Source organism: Homo sapiens, chromosome 11 (genome assembly GCF_000001405.40).
Source record: "Homo sapiens chromosome 11, GRCh38.p14 Primary Assembly".
Taxonomy (NCBI): domain Eukaryota; kingdom Metazoa; phylum Chordata; class Mammalia; order Primates; family Hominidae; genus Homo; species Homo sapiens.
In genome coordinates, this window is record NC_000011.10 from 130,058,593 (window position 1) to 130,072,434 (window position 13,842).

A 13,842-nucleotide genomic window follows, 5' to 3' on the forward strand; every position below is an offset into this window, starting at 1 on the left:
TCTGCCATCAGCCTGCAGGTGAAGCTTTCCCAGGAGGAGCAAGAGCATCACAGAGCCGTGAGCTGAGGTCCTGACGGAAACCATGCCTGATCCCTGCCCCTTTAGGCTTTTCCAGTTGTGTGGGTCAATAAACACTATTTTTCTTTCGATCAGGTTGAGTAGACATTTCTATTATTTACAGCCAAAAACATCCTGATGAGACAAGTGCTCCCTATAATTCTCATTAATTCATTCTAAATGAGTTAATATCTGCTAAGGCGCTTAGGACAATGCGTGGCATGTAGTGAGTGCTAATGAGAGTTATAGTTACTGTCATCGATAAAAGTGTTACTGTTACAAAATGAAGACAATAATGACTGCCCTGTCTTTTTTTTTTTTTTTTTCTGAGATGGAGTCTCACTCTGTCATCCAGGCTGGAGTGCAGTGGCGTGATCACAGCTCACTGCAACCTCCACCTCCCTGGTTCAAGCAATTCCCCTGCCTCAGCTGCCCAAGTAGCTAGGATTACAGGTGTACACCACCACGCCTGGCTAATTTTTTTTGTATTTTTAGTAGGGACAGGGTTTCACCATGTTGGCCAGACCTGTCTCGAACTCCTGACCTCAGGCAATCCACCTGCCTCGGCCTCCCAAAATGCTGGGATTACAGGTGTGAGCCACTGCACCCGGCAACAAGGTTTTATTTGTTTATTTATTTATTTATTGTTGTGACAGATTCTTGTCTGTCACCCAGGCATCATCGTGCCACTGCAGCCTTGAACTCCTAGACTCAAGGGATCCTCCCACCTCAGCCTCCCAAATAGCTGAGACTACGAGTGTGCACCACTGTGCCTGGCTGTTATTTTTATTTTTAGTAGAGACGGGTCTTGCTTTGCTGCCCAGGCTAAGTTATTGTTGATAAGATCAAGAAAGACAAAAGAAAAGTGAAAGATTACTCCCTCCGTTATAAACGTAACATATATCCATTATAGGAATATTTTTTAAAGAATAAAACAATCACTTATAATCCTATTATCCAGAAAAAAATATGTTGGTTCATTTTCTTTCAGTCGACTTTAAATGCATAAGAGAAATTTTTCCACATATGCAATTCCTACTATGACTTCTGAAATTTTAACACATCTTATAAGCATTTTTCCATAATTTATTCTCATTTGGATTATTTTCCTAGGATGGATTCCTAGAAATGAAATAAGTGAGTTTTACATGGTTCTTTTAAATATGAAAGGAAATGATGGACACAAAACAAATTTGAAAATTCAAAAGCGTCATACAAATATGAGCTTCTCTTTCCCTAAACTTGCACTGCAACCATAAATAACCAACCAGAACTACCTACTGTCCTGTACCAAGCCCTTATTATATGCTGTATGCTGAGCTAAACATGTAAGCATTTTATCCATTATTCCACTTAGTCTTTCTAAGATGCCTGCTAAAAAGCTGATGATATCCCATAGCTGTCAAGTTAAAGGACAAAATCATTGTCCCTTAGGAATCCTCTTCTCTCTCGTCATTCTTATATGGCATCATGCTACTTCCATGTTAATACCCACACAGATGCCTTTGCCTGGCTGAGCACCTGTTCGCCACAGCCACCTTCTTTGTCCAGGTGGCTCCCACCTTTCCAAACTCAGTTAAAGCATGTTTTCCTTTGAGAAGTTTTCCCTGTTATCCTAACACTTTTAAATGCTGAACTAAGAGCCTTTACTAAATTGAGATTAGGAAGCACAAGCAAAGTATATTGAACATAGTAGGTGCCAAATAAATATTGAATTAATTTTTTTTTAAGAGACAGGGTCTGCTGTGTTGCCCAGGCTGGCCTCAAATCCTCAAATTCCTAAGCTCATGCGATCCTCTCACTCCAGCCTCCTGTGTAGCTGAGGCTACAGGAGTGCTACCACATCTGACTCTTTAATGAATTATTATTACATGAACTTGGTGTAGATATCTCATCAGGAAATGTTGGTTACATTATTAATAAAATACACATTGTCCAGAAAAAGAATGAATTTTCTGGGTAGTTTGTGTTTAGTATGTGAAATATTGTGTTCAGTTTTGGATTCTATACTTTTAGAGGCTGATTGGTAAATTGGAATGTATACAGAGATCTAAGGATGGTAAGAATGGAAACAGTATTACAAGTAAAATGGTTAAAGAAGTGAATCTGTTTATTAAAGAAAAGACTTTGTATGGCCAGGCTTGGTGGCTCACGCCTATAAATCTCAGCACTTTGGGAGGCCGAGGTGGGCAGATCACTTGAGGTCAGGAGTTCAAGACCAACCCGTCCAACATGGCGAAACCCCATCTCTACTAAAAATACAAAAATTAGCCAGGTGTGGTGGCGCGTGGCTATAATCTCAGCTACTCAGGAGGCTGCGGCACAAGAATCACTTGAACCCGGGAGGCAGAGGTTGTAGTGAGCCCAGATCACACCACTGCACTCTAGCCTGGGCAACAGAGCAAGACTCTGTCAAAAAGAAAGAAAGAGAGGAAGGAAGGAAGGAAGGAAGGAAAGAAGGAAGGAAGGAAGGAAGGAAGGAAGGAAGGAAGGAAGGAAGAAGGGGAAGGGGAAGGAAAGGGAAAGGGAAGGGGAAGGGGAAGGAAGGAAAGAAAGGAAAGAAAGAAAAGACTTTGCGGGTGATAGTGGGGGTGTGCAGAATGGGGTATGACAGCCACCTTTAATTATGTGATGAAGATTAGTTCAATAAAAAGACAAAATGTCCAGCCAATGGAGCTGTGAACTTCTCTGTCCTTCTATTGTAGTAAATGACTTCCACACCAGGCAGAAAGATGACACAAATACCTTCAAACTCTGATGTGGGGCATGTCAAGAAAGCAGTTTTACATCAGCTTTTCTGAAAAGCAAGTACCATGTAAAAATCACCAACGATAAGAACTTTTAGTATAAGCAGCTCCCAGCGCTGAGGTTTTTTTCACCATTATTTTGTATTTTCTGCACTGAAGGCAGAAGAAATTATTCAAAGAAGGACCAAACAAGAATACCAAACAACGTAGCATTACTACAGGTAGATGAGAAAATAGCCACAACACAGAGGGAGAACAAACCGACTGAAGTACAGGGAATGAGATGGTTTCTTTCAAATAAGGGTTAAGGGCTGGGCGGTGCGGTGGCTCACACCTGTAATTCCAGCACTTTGGGAGGCTGAGATGGGCAGATTGCCTGAGCTCAGGAGTTTGAGACCAGCTCGGGTAACATGGTGAAACCCCATCTCTACAAAAATATAAAAAATCAGCCAGGCATGATGGCAGGCGCCTGTAATCTCAGCTACTCGGGAGGCTGGGGAAGGAGAACTGCTTGAACCCGGGAGGCTTGCGGCGAGCCGAGATCGCGCCACTGCACTCCAGCCTGGGCAACAAAGAAAAACTCTGTCTCAAAAAACAAAAAACAAATAAGACTTAGGAACAATAATAAATGAAGGAAGCTAACTAGGCAGGGCTATATATGAGGACAGTTCCTGCAGGAGGGATTTGCAGCCAGAGGTGGTTTTTCTGCAGAGCTAATGCAGAGCAAGCTTCCAGGCCACTCTTTTGCCCCAGTTTCTTCCGAGGCTGTGGTAGGACCCCAAGCAATCTCGTACTGTTTCTCTTCAAGAGAGCACCTGACTTATGTAAGTTTTAGGACTTGCAAAACCTGTTTTCAAGCCTGTAAACCAGTTTACCACCAAAACAAAACTTAGTATACGCATAAGGTGTTTAAAGATTTTTTTGTAGCATTTAATTTTAGACATGCCCACATACCCGGATTGTAATCAGTTAAATTAATATTGTCTTTGAAAACAAAACATACTCTAGGACCAGATTCTTTTCCATATCAAGGCCCTGCTTTGGCATCGAATCTGGGGACCCTGTATTGATTTTAAATACTTGATATTTTTGTCTACTTGACTTATTTGATAAAAGCAGACCCTTAGTCTAGATCAGTAGGAGGTAGAAGAAAGGCTTTATAAACGATTTAAATCTTAATTACCTATTAATGTGGTAAACGTGTGTATTATATAAGGTTAAACCTGTTCTGCCTCAAGCAACTGCATTGCTTCCCTCTGAGAAGTGATTCCACCTGCTCAGCATCAGCGGCAAACAGAACACAGAAGCACCCTAAAGAGCTGGGTGTGATGGTACGCGCCTGTAATCCCAGCTACTCAGGAGACTGAAGCGGGAGGATCCCTGAAGTCCAAGGAGTTCGAGGCTGTATTGTGTCATGATCATGCCAGTGATAGCCACAGCACTCCAGCCTGGGCAACATAGTGAGACCTCATCTCTAATAAGTTAAAAAAAAAAAAAAGCGCTGGTGTGGTGGCTTACACCTGTAATCCTAGCACTTTGGGAGGCCGAGGCCAGTGGATCACTTGAGCCCAGGAGTTTGAGACCAGCCTGGGCAACATGGCAAAATCCCTTCTCTACAAAAAATATAAAAATTAGCAGGCTATGGTGGCACATGCCTGTAGTCCCAGCTACCTGGGAGACTGAAGTGGGAAGATCACCTTAGCCTGCTAAAATAGAGGCTGCAGTGAGCCATGATTGTGCCACTGCACTCCAGCCTGGGTAACAGAGTGAGACCCTGTCTCAAAAACAAAACAAAACAAAACAAAACAAAACAAAACAAAACAAAACAAAACAAAAGGGAAGAAAAAAAAAATTCAACCTGAGGCTGATTTTTTTTAAGTGTTCTAAGTAGTAGAGAAAGATGCAACAGCTAAATACATTTTTATAAGGACTCTTCTGTTTATTATTAAGCATGTGACTTTACAGACTATCACACAGCCTGAAAATGTAAGGAAAAGGAATGACAAGCCATTGAAACATTTTTATGCATCCATTGAGGGCTGTATCAGACTAATATTTTCCGATATTTGGTAGGGAGTTGGTTAGCATGATGTGATCAGGAGACCATATATTTCTAAGTCAGTAAAACCAGGATTCAGTTTCCTTCTCTGCTAGTACTGGTTTTGGCTATTGACAAGTTATTTAACCTCTTTGAGCCTCAGTTTTCTCATCTGTAAAATGGGTTTAATACACATTTTACAAATCTCAACTGGGTCTCTTTCATTTTCAATTTTTTCCCTTCCACCACTGCCTCCTTATCAGTGACAAACAGGAACAACAACCAAGTTCTCCACCCATACCCTACAAGAGCTACTCTCCTAGTTTTTGCTCTTTCAACGGGGAACTTCTGGGAAGAGACAAGACTGTACTTGTTAGCTCTCCTTCCTCCAAGCCACTTAAACCTTTACATCCTGCAAATAGCTTTTACTCCCTCAAATAAATGACCAGTGACAAAGTTCAATGATCTCCAAGTTCAGTGGTTCTTTCTTAGTCCTCATCCTATTTGGCCTTTTCTAGTTTTCGACTCTATGCTGTGGTGACAAATACTGTTTGAACAGAACAGTAATATATCCTTCTGGTTTCTTTCTACCTCTCCTGTTGCATTGCCTATTGGCTAGCTCATACATTTAACTAATAGCCTTTTGGAAGGTAACTTCCAAAATTCTAATTCTGGCATTTCACATCTTCACCTTCCTCTCATTCCCATAATCTTCTTGTTTTCCCTATTTCTGCCAATGGCATCATCATCACCATATTCTCCCAGGCCCATGTTCAGAGGTTAAAGTTCTCTTTGTCCCTCCTTCCTTCTCCTTGACTCTATGCCACTGACTCCCCCACCCAGTGACTGGCCAAGACCATAGACTTTACCTTTTACGACCATCTCCTTTCTAATTCCGCTCCATCTCCCTTAGTTCTGCCCACATTTTCTCTTTCCCCAAGATCACAGTGGGCTCCTAGCTGCCTCCTGGACTCCAGGCTCTGCCGCATCCCTCAGGTAGCTCTCACACTCGTTTTTTGCCTAAAAGCCAACTCTAATTATGTTCTTGTCCAAAGGTTTCTATGGCTCCTCAGTATCTTTGCTGTAAATCCACCAACCATCCTGCCTTAATTACGGATTACAAACCCTGGGCTCCAATTAAGTGAAATATGACTGGCATATTCTCTTCCATCATGTTTTTCCAGTGCTATGCCTTTGCTTGCATTGTTCCTTCCATGCTTCTTGTCCTCTCCTGACACTGCATGAACACATCCTGTATAGATTCCCAGGAAACCTCAGATAGCGTCTTCTCTGTGATCCTCTCCTGGTGTCCTCACACAGCTGTAACCAACTTCCTCTGCTCTTCTTAAAAAACTTCCCTTCTCTTAAGCCATTTGTGACTTTCCACCTATTGCTATGGTTATGCGCACCCAGGTTTCAGCTTCTCTGACAGACTGTAAAACTCACTTAGTTCTGTGTTCATTCAGCAAGTATTTTTTGAACACCTATTAAGCACAACCACTATGCTAGATTGTGGAGGTACAGACACGGTTCTTCCCCTCAAGGGACTCGTGGTATAATTAAGGAAACTGAAAAGAAAAGAAATAACTAATGCTTAGTTTACACATAGTATGACAGAGGTGGGTACATACAGAATGTTACGGGGAGCAAAAAGGAGGTGCACCAAACTCAGCTTTGAAGAAGAAAAGGAGGAGCAGAAAACGTCCTTGAGCAGGTGACACTTGAACCAAGTCTTAAATACTGAGTCAGCTGTGGATGAGGGGGAAAGGCAATCTGGGTAGAAGGAAGGAGATATTTAAAGGCTATCAGCTATAGGCCAAGGCATAGAATTGATTCATATTTATTTCCCATACCACAAGGGTTCTAACGCATATATTAAATCAGGGCCATTCCATTATAAAGTATTCACCACTCTGATTTGCAATTAAAACAACAACAACAGAGGCAATGTATTAAGTTGCCAAAAAGTTATGTTATCCAATTTTTTTATTTCTTTTTTTTTTTTTTTTTTTTTTTGAGACAGAGTCTTGCTCTGTCGCCCAGGCTGGAGTGCAGTGGCGCGATCTTGGCTCACTGCAAGCTCCACCTCCCGGGTTCATGCCATTCTCCTGCCTCGGCCTCCCGAGTAGCTGGGACTACAGGCACCTGCCACCACGCCCGGTAAATTTTTTTGTATTTTTTTTTTAGTAGAGACGGGGTTTCACTGTGTTAGCCAGGATGATCTGGATCTCCTGACCTCATGATCTGCCGGTCTTGGCCTCCCAAAGTGCTGGGATTATAGGCGAGAGCCACCGCCCACGGCCTCAATTTTTAAATTTCAAAAGATGACTATCCTGACTTTGTTGTTGTTAAATGTTGTTTCTTTAGTGAGATGGTGGTGATAATACAGTTACGTTTTAATTTAATGCATTATTTGGAAAACAAAACAAAACAAAAACAACTGGGAACTTTGTTATTCCACTTAAGAAGTGTTTTTCACAGTCCATGATATTCAAGAATTAAGTAACCACTATGCCAGAGCAGCAGTTCTCATGAATATTAGTGGGTTAGAATTATCTAGAGAGCTTTAAAAGTGTATACCAATTTCTTTCTTTTTTTTTTTTTTGAGACAGAGTTTTGCTCTGTCGCCCAGGGTGGAGTGCAATGGCGCGATCTCAGCTCACTGCAACCTCTGCCTCCCGGGTTCAAGCAATTCTCCTGCCTCAAGGCGCCCACCACCATGCCCGGCTAATTTTTCTATTTTTAGTAGAGACAGGGTTTCATCATGTTGGCCAGCCTGGTGTCGAACACCTGACCTCAGGTAATCCACCCGCCTCGGCCTCCCAAAGTGCTGGGATTACAGGCATAAGCCGCTGGGCCTGGTGGAAAAATGTATACCAATTTCTTGAGGTCACCCTAGCACTAGAGATTTAGAATTTCTGACATTGGGTTTTAAAATGTGCCTTTTAAAAATAAACTCCTTGCTGGGCATGGTGGCTCATTCCTCTAATCCCTTTTGGGAGGCCAAGGCAATAGGATCATTTGAACTCCGAAGTTTGACATCAGCTTGGGCAACATAGTGTTAAAAAAAAAAAAATTAGCTGGGCGTGGTGGTGTATGTGGCTGGAGAATTGCCTGATCCCAGGAGGTCAAAGCTTCAGTGAGCTGTGATTATGCCGCTGCACTCCAGCTTGGGCGATAGAGTGAGACTGTCTCAAAAATAAAATAAAAATACACTTCGTAGTTGATTTTGAAAAGCATCCTGATTTGGGAGCAATTATCCTAGCCAACTGTACCTAGCCTGAATAGGTATTGGATAAATAAGTATCAAATTAATGTGAGGGTTCTCCTCATGTTAAGTATACATTTAGGAAAATCAACTTTGTTTTTTTTCAACAAGGAAATGCACACATCTTAAGTGTGCATAGAAGAGAGCTGATTTAGGAGAAAGTCTGATTCTTAAGAAGGTAGAAGAAACATGAGGTTATTTTATTTTACTTTATGTTATTTTTATTTTTGTGAGACAAGAGTCTCGCTCTGCTACCCAGGCTGGAGTGCAGTGGCACAATCTCGGTTCACTGCAACCTACGCCTCCTGGGCTCAAGCAATTCTCCTGCCTCAGCCTCCGAAGTAGCTGGGACTACAGGCGCCTGCCACCACGCCCAGCTTTTTTTTTTTTTTTTTTTTTTTTTTTGTATTTTTAGTAGAGACAGGGTTTCATCATGTTGGCCAGGCTGGTCTGGAACTCCTGACTTCAGGTGATCCACCCGCTTCGGTCTCCCAAAGTGCTAGGATTACAGGTGTGAGCCACTGTGCCCAGCCAGGAGGTTATTTTAGGTCCTTTTGCTTTTATGCATAAAAGATAATAAAATGAAAACATACTACTCATAAGCCTTGGTCACTGACATGAGCATATTTGGAATGAAAAATTATTGAGAATTGCAAGACCAGGTATGTTCCTGTCAGTGTCATTTAATAAAAAGACCATAACATTTTAAAGTACAGAATGTTGATGAATGGGGCTATCAACTCTTAGTAACGATCCTTCCATAACTTGAAAATGCAAATAAACTTCTTTCAAGACCTAAGTTTAGACTGAAGGCCCTCTAAATTATGTTCCTGTATTTCCTTGTACTATCCCATGATATTAAAGCTCAGTCTTGAAGATACAGTCTCCAAAGCATGAATATCCACGCCACTGAACTCAGATATCTCACTTGCTTTTCCCTGAGTTCAAGGCCCTGATTTTGTAGGTGAGGTAACAGGCCCCAGAGGGGCTACATGTCCTACCCTAGGCTCAACAACTCAATGAGGATTTAGGTAGTCACTTGATACTTTTCCCACATACTTGCAGATGAACCTGCACTTAGTAATACATCGCTTTACCCTCCTACCCCTTACATTTAAGTCACTTCATGCTTTTCACTATTGTACATTCATTTTAAGTTCAATCACACAAAGCGGTGCAGTGAGACAGGTTTTAATATTCACATTTGACAGAGAAGAAAAGAGAGTCCCAAGCGATGGAGGAACTTGCCGGTGATCATGCGGCTGTGTCAGTCAGCTCCGGCTGCTGCAACAAAATAACATAGGCTGGGGGGCTTCAACAACAGGGATTTATTTTTCACAGTTCTTGAAGCCTGGGAAGTCCAAGCTCAAGGTGCCACTTTGGCCCCTCAGTGATGGACCTCTTCCTGGTTTGCAGATGGCGGCCTTCTTGCTGTGTTCGCACATGGAGGAGGGAGGTGAGGGCTGAGGTTGGGGGTAGGGGACAGAGAGTGTGAGAGAAAAGCAAGCTCTTTGGTGTCTCTCCTAATAAAGGCACTCATCCCATCATGACCTGCTACCTCCATGACCTCATCCAAATCCGATTACCTCCCAAAGGCCCCATTTACAAATAACCATCACACTGGGGTTCAGCGCTTCGGCACACACATTAGGGGTGGGGACAAAATTCGGTCCATAGCAAGAGCCAAATTCATGCCAGTTCCAGAACTAGTATCAGCACCCAAGATAACTGGGTTCAATAACACTGGGCAAACATTTATCGAGGACTGCACTGTGAGGGGCACTGCGGCATGACAGACCCAAGTCTTGTCAGTGACCTGAGAGAGGTATGGAATAACTAGGGAGCGAGTGCCACAGTGGGAAACATCCCTCTGAGCAATCAGAAGCGATATTTCAGCCGACTGAGCCGAGGAACAGTGAAAACGCTTCCAACAGGCAGATGTTGGGGAGAGGACATTGCAGGCGCAGAAGAGTGTTAGGAAGGGCTGTGAAATGGAAAGGTGTCGTCTTGGAGGAATCGGGCAGAGCCAGTTTACCCACAGGGAACTGGGCATGTAGGGGAGAGTGGTGCAGAATAAGGCTGGAAAATCCCGAGTTCTTACAGGCGCACTCGTCTACTCCGCGGACAGTCTCTTCCTTTCTATTGTCAGCGTCCTGGGGGTAGGGTTGTGTTATGCATTTAGTTGAACCTGAAGGGACTAGTCCAGGTCTCTCAGAAGGCAGTACCTAACTCACAGGCGACTGAAAGGAAACAAGGCCAGCGGAGCCCTGGCGGTGGCGAGGCTGTGCCAATTGCTAAATGGGGCAGCAGGACGTTTTTCTCTACTGAAGTGGCAATGCCGCGGAGCAGGAAGGCAGAGTAGCAGGTCTCCCGCTAGTGCGTCTCAACCGAAGAAGCGGCGTGATCTCTTCCTAAAACACACGAGGAAGGGGGCCTGGGCTGTGAGGCCGGCGTGGTTCTTGCACCCCTGGTCTCTATCCCTGCCTGGGCAACTGCTGGGAAGGAAGGGTCGGCAAGAGGCCTAAAGACCGGAGGCCAAGGGTGCGGAGCGCGGCCGGACTCAGAGGCGAGGACCCGGCGGAGAGGCCTGGGCGGAGCAGGGCGGGAGAGGCGCGCCCTGAGTAGGGCTCGGGGGAGGACGATGGCTGCCTCCTGCGGTCCTCCCCCTGCCTCGGGGGACGGCCCTTGGCAGACCGTCCCGGACTCCTAATTCATCCTGTTTTTAATAAAACCATTTCCAGAATCAAAAAGAGGGCGGTACCCAAAGGAGTCTGAAGAATGCCCAGCAGGGGCAGGGGAGCGGGGCGTGCCCGTATCGGGAGGCTGAAGGCTGACGGACCAGCGCAGCAGGGACAGATAACCGCGCCGGGGGGCGGAGGCCAGAGCCAGCCCCGCGCCCACAGGGTTGCGGCCCCAGACCCGCCGCGCGCACGCCCCCGCGCCTGGCGGCCACAGGGTCCGGAGCGGGGGCGGGGCCATCCGCGGCCGGGGGCGGGGCCGGGCGGGGGGCGCGCGGTTGGACCGGGCGGGAGGAGCAGGCTCTTCCATCTCCTGATTGGGTCTGGACCGCAAGGGGGCGGGGTCTTGAGGGGTTCTGCGGGCCGGCATTGGGAGCCGCAGAAGGAGGGCGTGGTAATATGAAGTCAGTTCCGGTTGGTGTAAAACCCCCGGGGCGGCGGCGAACTGGCTTTAGATGCTTCTGGGTCGCGGTGTGCTAAGCGAGGAGTCCGAGTGTGTGAGCTTGAGAGCCGCGCGCTAGAGCGACCCGGCGAGGGATGGCGGCCACCGGGACCGCGGCCGCCGCAGCCACGGGCAGGCTCCTGCTTCTGCTGCTGGTGGGGCTCACGGCGCCTGCCTTGGCGCTGGCCGGCTACATCGAGGTGGGGACCGGGCGAACGCCGGAGAGTCGTCTCCTTCGCCCGCCGGAGGAGCGCGGACTGCGGGCGGGCAGCGGGGTCCGCGGCAGGGCGGGCCGGCGGTGCGGCGCCGGGGGTCCGGCTCTGCGGCGGGTCTGGCGCGCCCTCCCCCGCCCGTCCCTGCTTGGCGCAGTGCTTAGCGCTGGAGGTCGGGCTGCCTCAGCCGCCGCAGAGGCCAAATGAAAGGCGTCGGGGCTGCTGGGGGCGGCCGTCCGCCTCGGCCGACCCAGCCCCCAACCCGCCCGCGGCGCCGCCACCTCCTCCGGGGACCCAGTGCCCCCGGGCGCCCGCCCCGCCCTCCCCCGGGACAATGCCAGGGCGCTCCTCTCCCGCCGGAGTCCGCGGCTGGGCTTTCTCCAGGGGCGGCCCCGCGCGGACCCCGTACGCTCCCTCGCGCGGCACCGGGGCCTCGGCTCCGGGCCTCCCACCTGCGAGCGGCGGGCTTCGCCTTTGTTGCCAGGTGGACGCGGCCCCGGCCTTCGCGCGCGGCAGGGATGCTGCGAGCCCCGGGGGAGCTCCCGCGCCAGGCCGCCCGCTGCTCCCTCTGCCGCCTGGGGCCGGGTCGCGGACGCGCATTTTTTAAGTGGCGCTGTTTGCCTGCGTCCGTAGACCGAGGAAACCCGCTCTGGGTGCGTTGACCGCTTTCGTGAGGGTTTCAGTGAGTAGGGAAGGTGCCCGCGAAGGCGTGTAAACTGTTGGAAAAATCGTCCTCTTCGGGTGTCAGAATTCCATCAGTGGTTGTGCTTCGAGGTCGCACCCTGAGCATCCCCGCTGCGAGAAAGGCGAAGCGGCAGGGCCGGGGGTTGGGGAGGCCGCGGGAGGGGGCGGGGGCGGCGGGGTCCGCGGTGCGGGCCGGAGCGGGCAGCCTTGGAGGAGCCCTGCTGTGGCCGAGGGAGACGGCGAGCTTGATCTTTACTTCCCTTCTCGAAGTGGTGCTTGAACTGCTGGTCTGGAATGTGTAGTTCTGGTGTCGTTTATTTCTTCTCCCTCTTCGCTCTTTTAAAAATTACAACTGGTTTCTGCATACTTAGCTAATTTCAGAGAGACCTGAAGACTGGATTTGATTGGGCATTAATTGAGAGCTTTCTTTTAAAGACCTCAGGTTTAGAATATATTTACTTCTACAGAATGTTCAAGTATTTCCACGGGTAAAAATAAATCTAATAAAAAGCCTCTCTGATGGAACGGCTTAACACCTTTGTATTCATCCAGTTTAAAGCTTTGTGACTGTGAGGGTAAGAAAGGAGTTCAGCTTTAAAGAGAAATAGTTAACGTTTATCTACAGAGGATTTTGGATTGCGATTGTTTCAGTGTGTCCACACAATGGTCAGAGTTGTATCTGTGATCCCTGATATGTCGCATGAAAACAGCTAGGTGAGTGAGATGGGAAGAAAAAATAAAGGCTTTCGTATGGAAGATGGGACTTCACTAGTGGGTCGGGTGTCAGAAACCATCGTTCACACTCGCACTCCACTTCCCACTGCTATGACTAATTTGAGGCATTAGTGAATTCACAGTAGAAGACTCAGCAGTTTTAAAGAATTCGTTAATACTTGTGTAGCGGGAAAAAATAATATGAGAATTCATTGTTGTGTGTTAAATTTGATTGTTAGCCACAGCGTTGTTCAGTTGAAAAGTATGGTTGAAGAAAGTAGGAATTAAACATTTCTGAAAAATGGTTTTATGGTAACTCCTGTTCTTTGGAGCTGTATTTTTGCTCACACTTACTAAATGATCTTTCAAGGGGCCTTTTGTCAAGCTATCAGAATTTTATTCATATGAATATAATTTGATTTTGTTTATTTGCTGTCAGGCAAGGGACTGTCGAAGCTTAATTTAGATGAGAGTGGCCTAAATCAGGATGTCTTTGGGAAGGCCCTGATTGAGATTAGCGAAAGGGATTCTGGCCAAATCCCTGATCAAGTTGCTTGGCACAGAATTATTGATTGGCAAATCTTTAGTGTTGCTTGGTGTTGACTGAATTAATCTCTTACACCTGTTTAAAAAGAAAAAGCTCACCTCTGGACTCAGGGTCACTTCCTCTCTTAAATCCGAGACAAGTTCTCCTGTGTGCATGCTCCCATTTGGGACTGAGACAGTATTGTGCTGAAACCCCGCATACTGTGCAGTGGATGACTAGGCTCCTGAGAACCGGAACTTGAGTTTGTTCTGTCACATTTGAAAGAAAGAAGGCCATTTGATTGCCAGTTTTCTGGAAACTCAAACCCAAATTAAAGGATGTCAACTGAGGCAGAGTAGAGAAGGCTTTGTGTTGGTGTTTCTGACAGGTGGTATGGGAGATGTGTAATTGTACCT

The 13,842-nt window shown here is 46.7% G+C and overlaps 1 protein-coding gene and 1 long non-coding RNA gene across 40 annotated transcripts in view, besides 6 other annotated features; one reads left to right on the forward strand and one right to left on the reverse strand.

The window, feature by feature from the left end:
* On the reverse strand, positions 9,286–11,057 carry LOC107984432 (uncharacterized). The gene is made up of 2 exons (XR_001748444.2): positions 10,872–11,057; positions 9,286–10,521 (listed from the first exon to the last, which is right to left on the reverse strand). It is a non-coding gene; the product is annotated as an uncharacterized LOC107984432 (long non-coding RNA).
* Positions 9,993–10,493: an enhancer, noted in NCBI's record as "H3K4me1 hESC enhancer chr11:129938480-129938980 (GRCh37/hg19 assembly coordinates)". NCBI's record gives its function as "activates a minimal SCP1, AML or CMV promoter by ChIP-STARR-seq in naive H9 embryonic stem cells {active_cell/tissue: H9 hESC(naive)}" and the evidence as "EXISTENCE:reporter gene assay evidence [ECO:0000049][PMID:30033119]".
* Positions 10,494–10,994: an enhancer, noted in NCBI's record as "H3K4me1 hESC enhancer chr11:129938981-129939481 (GRCh37/hg19 assembly coordinates)". NCBI's record gives its function as "activates a minimal SCP1, AML or CMV promoter by ChIP-STARR-seq in naive H9 embryonic stem cells {active_cell/tissue: H9 hESC(naive)}" and the evidence as "EXISTENCE:reporter gene assay evidence [ECO:0000049][PMID:30033119]".
* Positions 10,494–11,140: a biological region, named in NCBI's record as "H3K4me1 hESC enhancer GRCh37_chr11:129938981-129939481".
* Positions 10,911–11,140: a silencer, noted in NCBI's record as "silent region_4075". NCBI's record gives its function as "represses an Ori minimal core promoter by ATAC-STARR-seq in GM12878 lymphoblastoid cells {active_cell/tissue: GM12878}" and the evidence as "EXISTENCE:reporter gene assay evidence [ECO:0000049][PMID:35858748]".
* APLP2 (amyloid beta precursor like protein 2) overlaps positions 11,302–13,842 on the forward strand; it is a 74,912-nt gene continuing 72,371 nt past the window's right edge. For 38 of the 39 annotated variants that reach the window (NR_168391.1, NR_168388.1, NR_168393.1 and 35 more), the window contains exon 1: positions 11,302–11,490. Coding sequence is in view for 29 of the 39 variants with exons in the window: in NM_001382528.1 (NP_001369457.1) it covers positions 11,386–11,490 (105 nt within the window). In the remaining 10 variants the exon portion in view is untranslated. Of the gene's footprint in view, positions 11,491–11,975; positions 12,156–13,842 lie in introns of those variants that run through there. The other variant, NM_001243299.2, reaches the window with a different exon arrangement.
* Positions 11,531–11,660: a silencer, noted in NCBI's record as "silent region_4076". NCBI's record gives its function as "represses an Ori minimal core promoter by ATAC-STARR-seq in GM12878 lymphoblastoid cells {active_cell/tissue: GM12878}" and the evidence as "EXISTENCE:reporter gene assay evidence [ECO:0000049][PMID:35858748]".
* Positions 11,731–12,190: a silencer, noted in NCBI's record as "silent region_4077". NCBI's record gives its function as "represses an Ori minimal core promoter by ATAC-STARR-seq in GM12878 lymphoblastoid cells {active_cell/tissue: GM12878}" and the evidence as "EXISTENCE:reporter gene assay evidence [ECO:0000049][PMID:35858748]".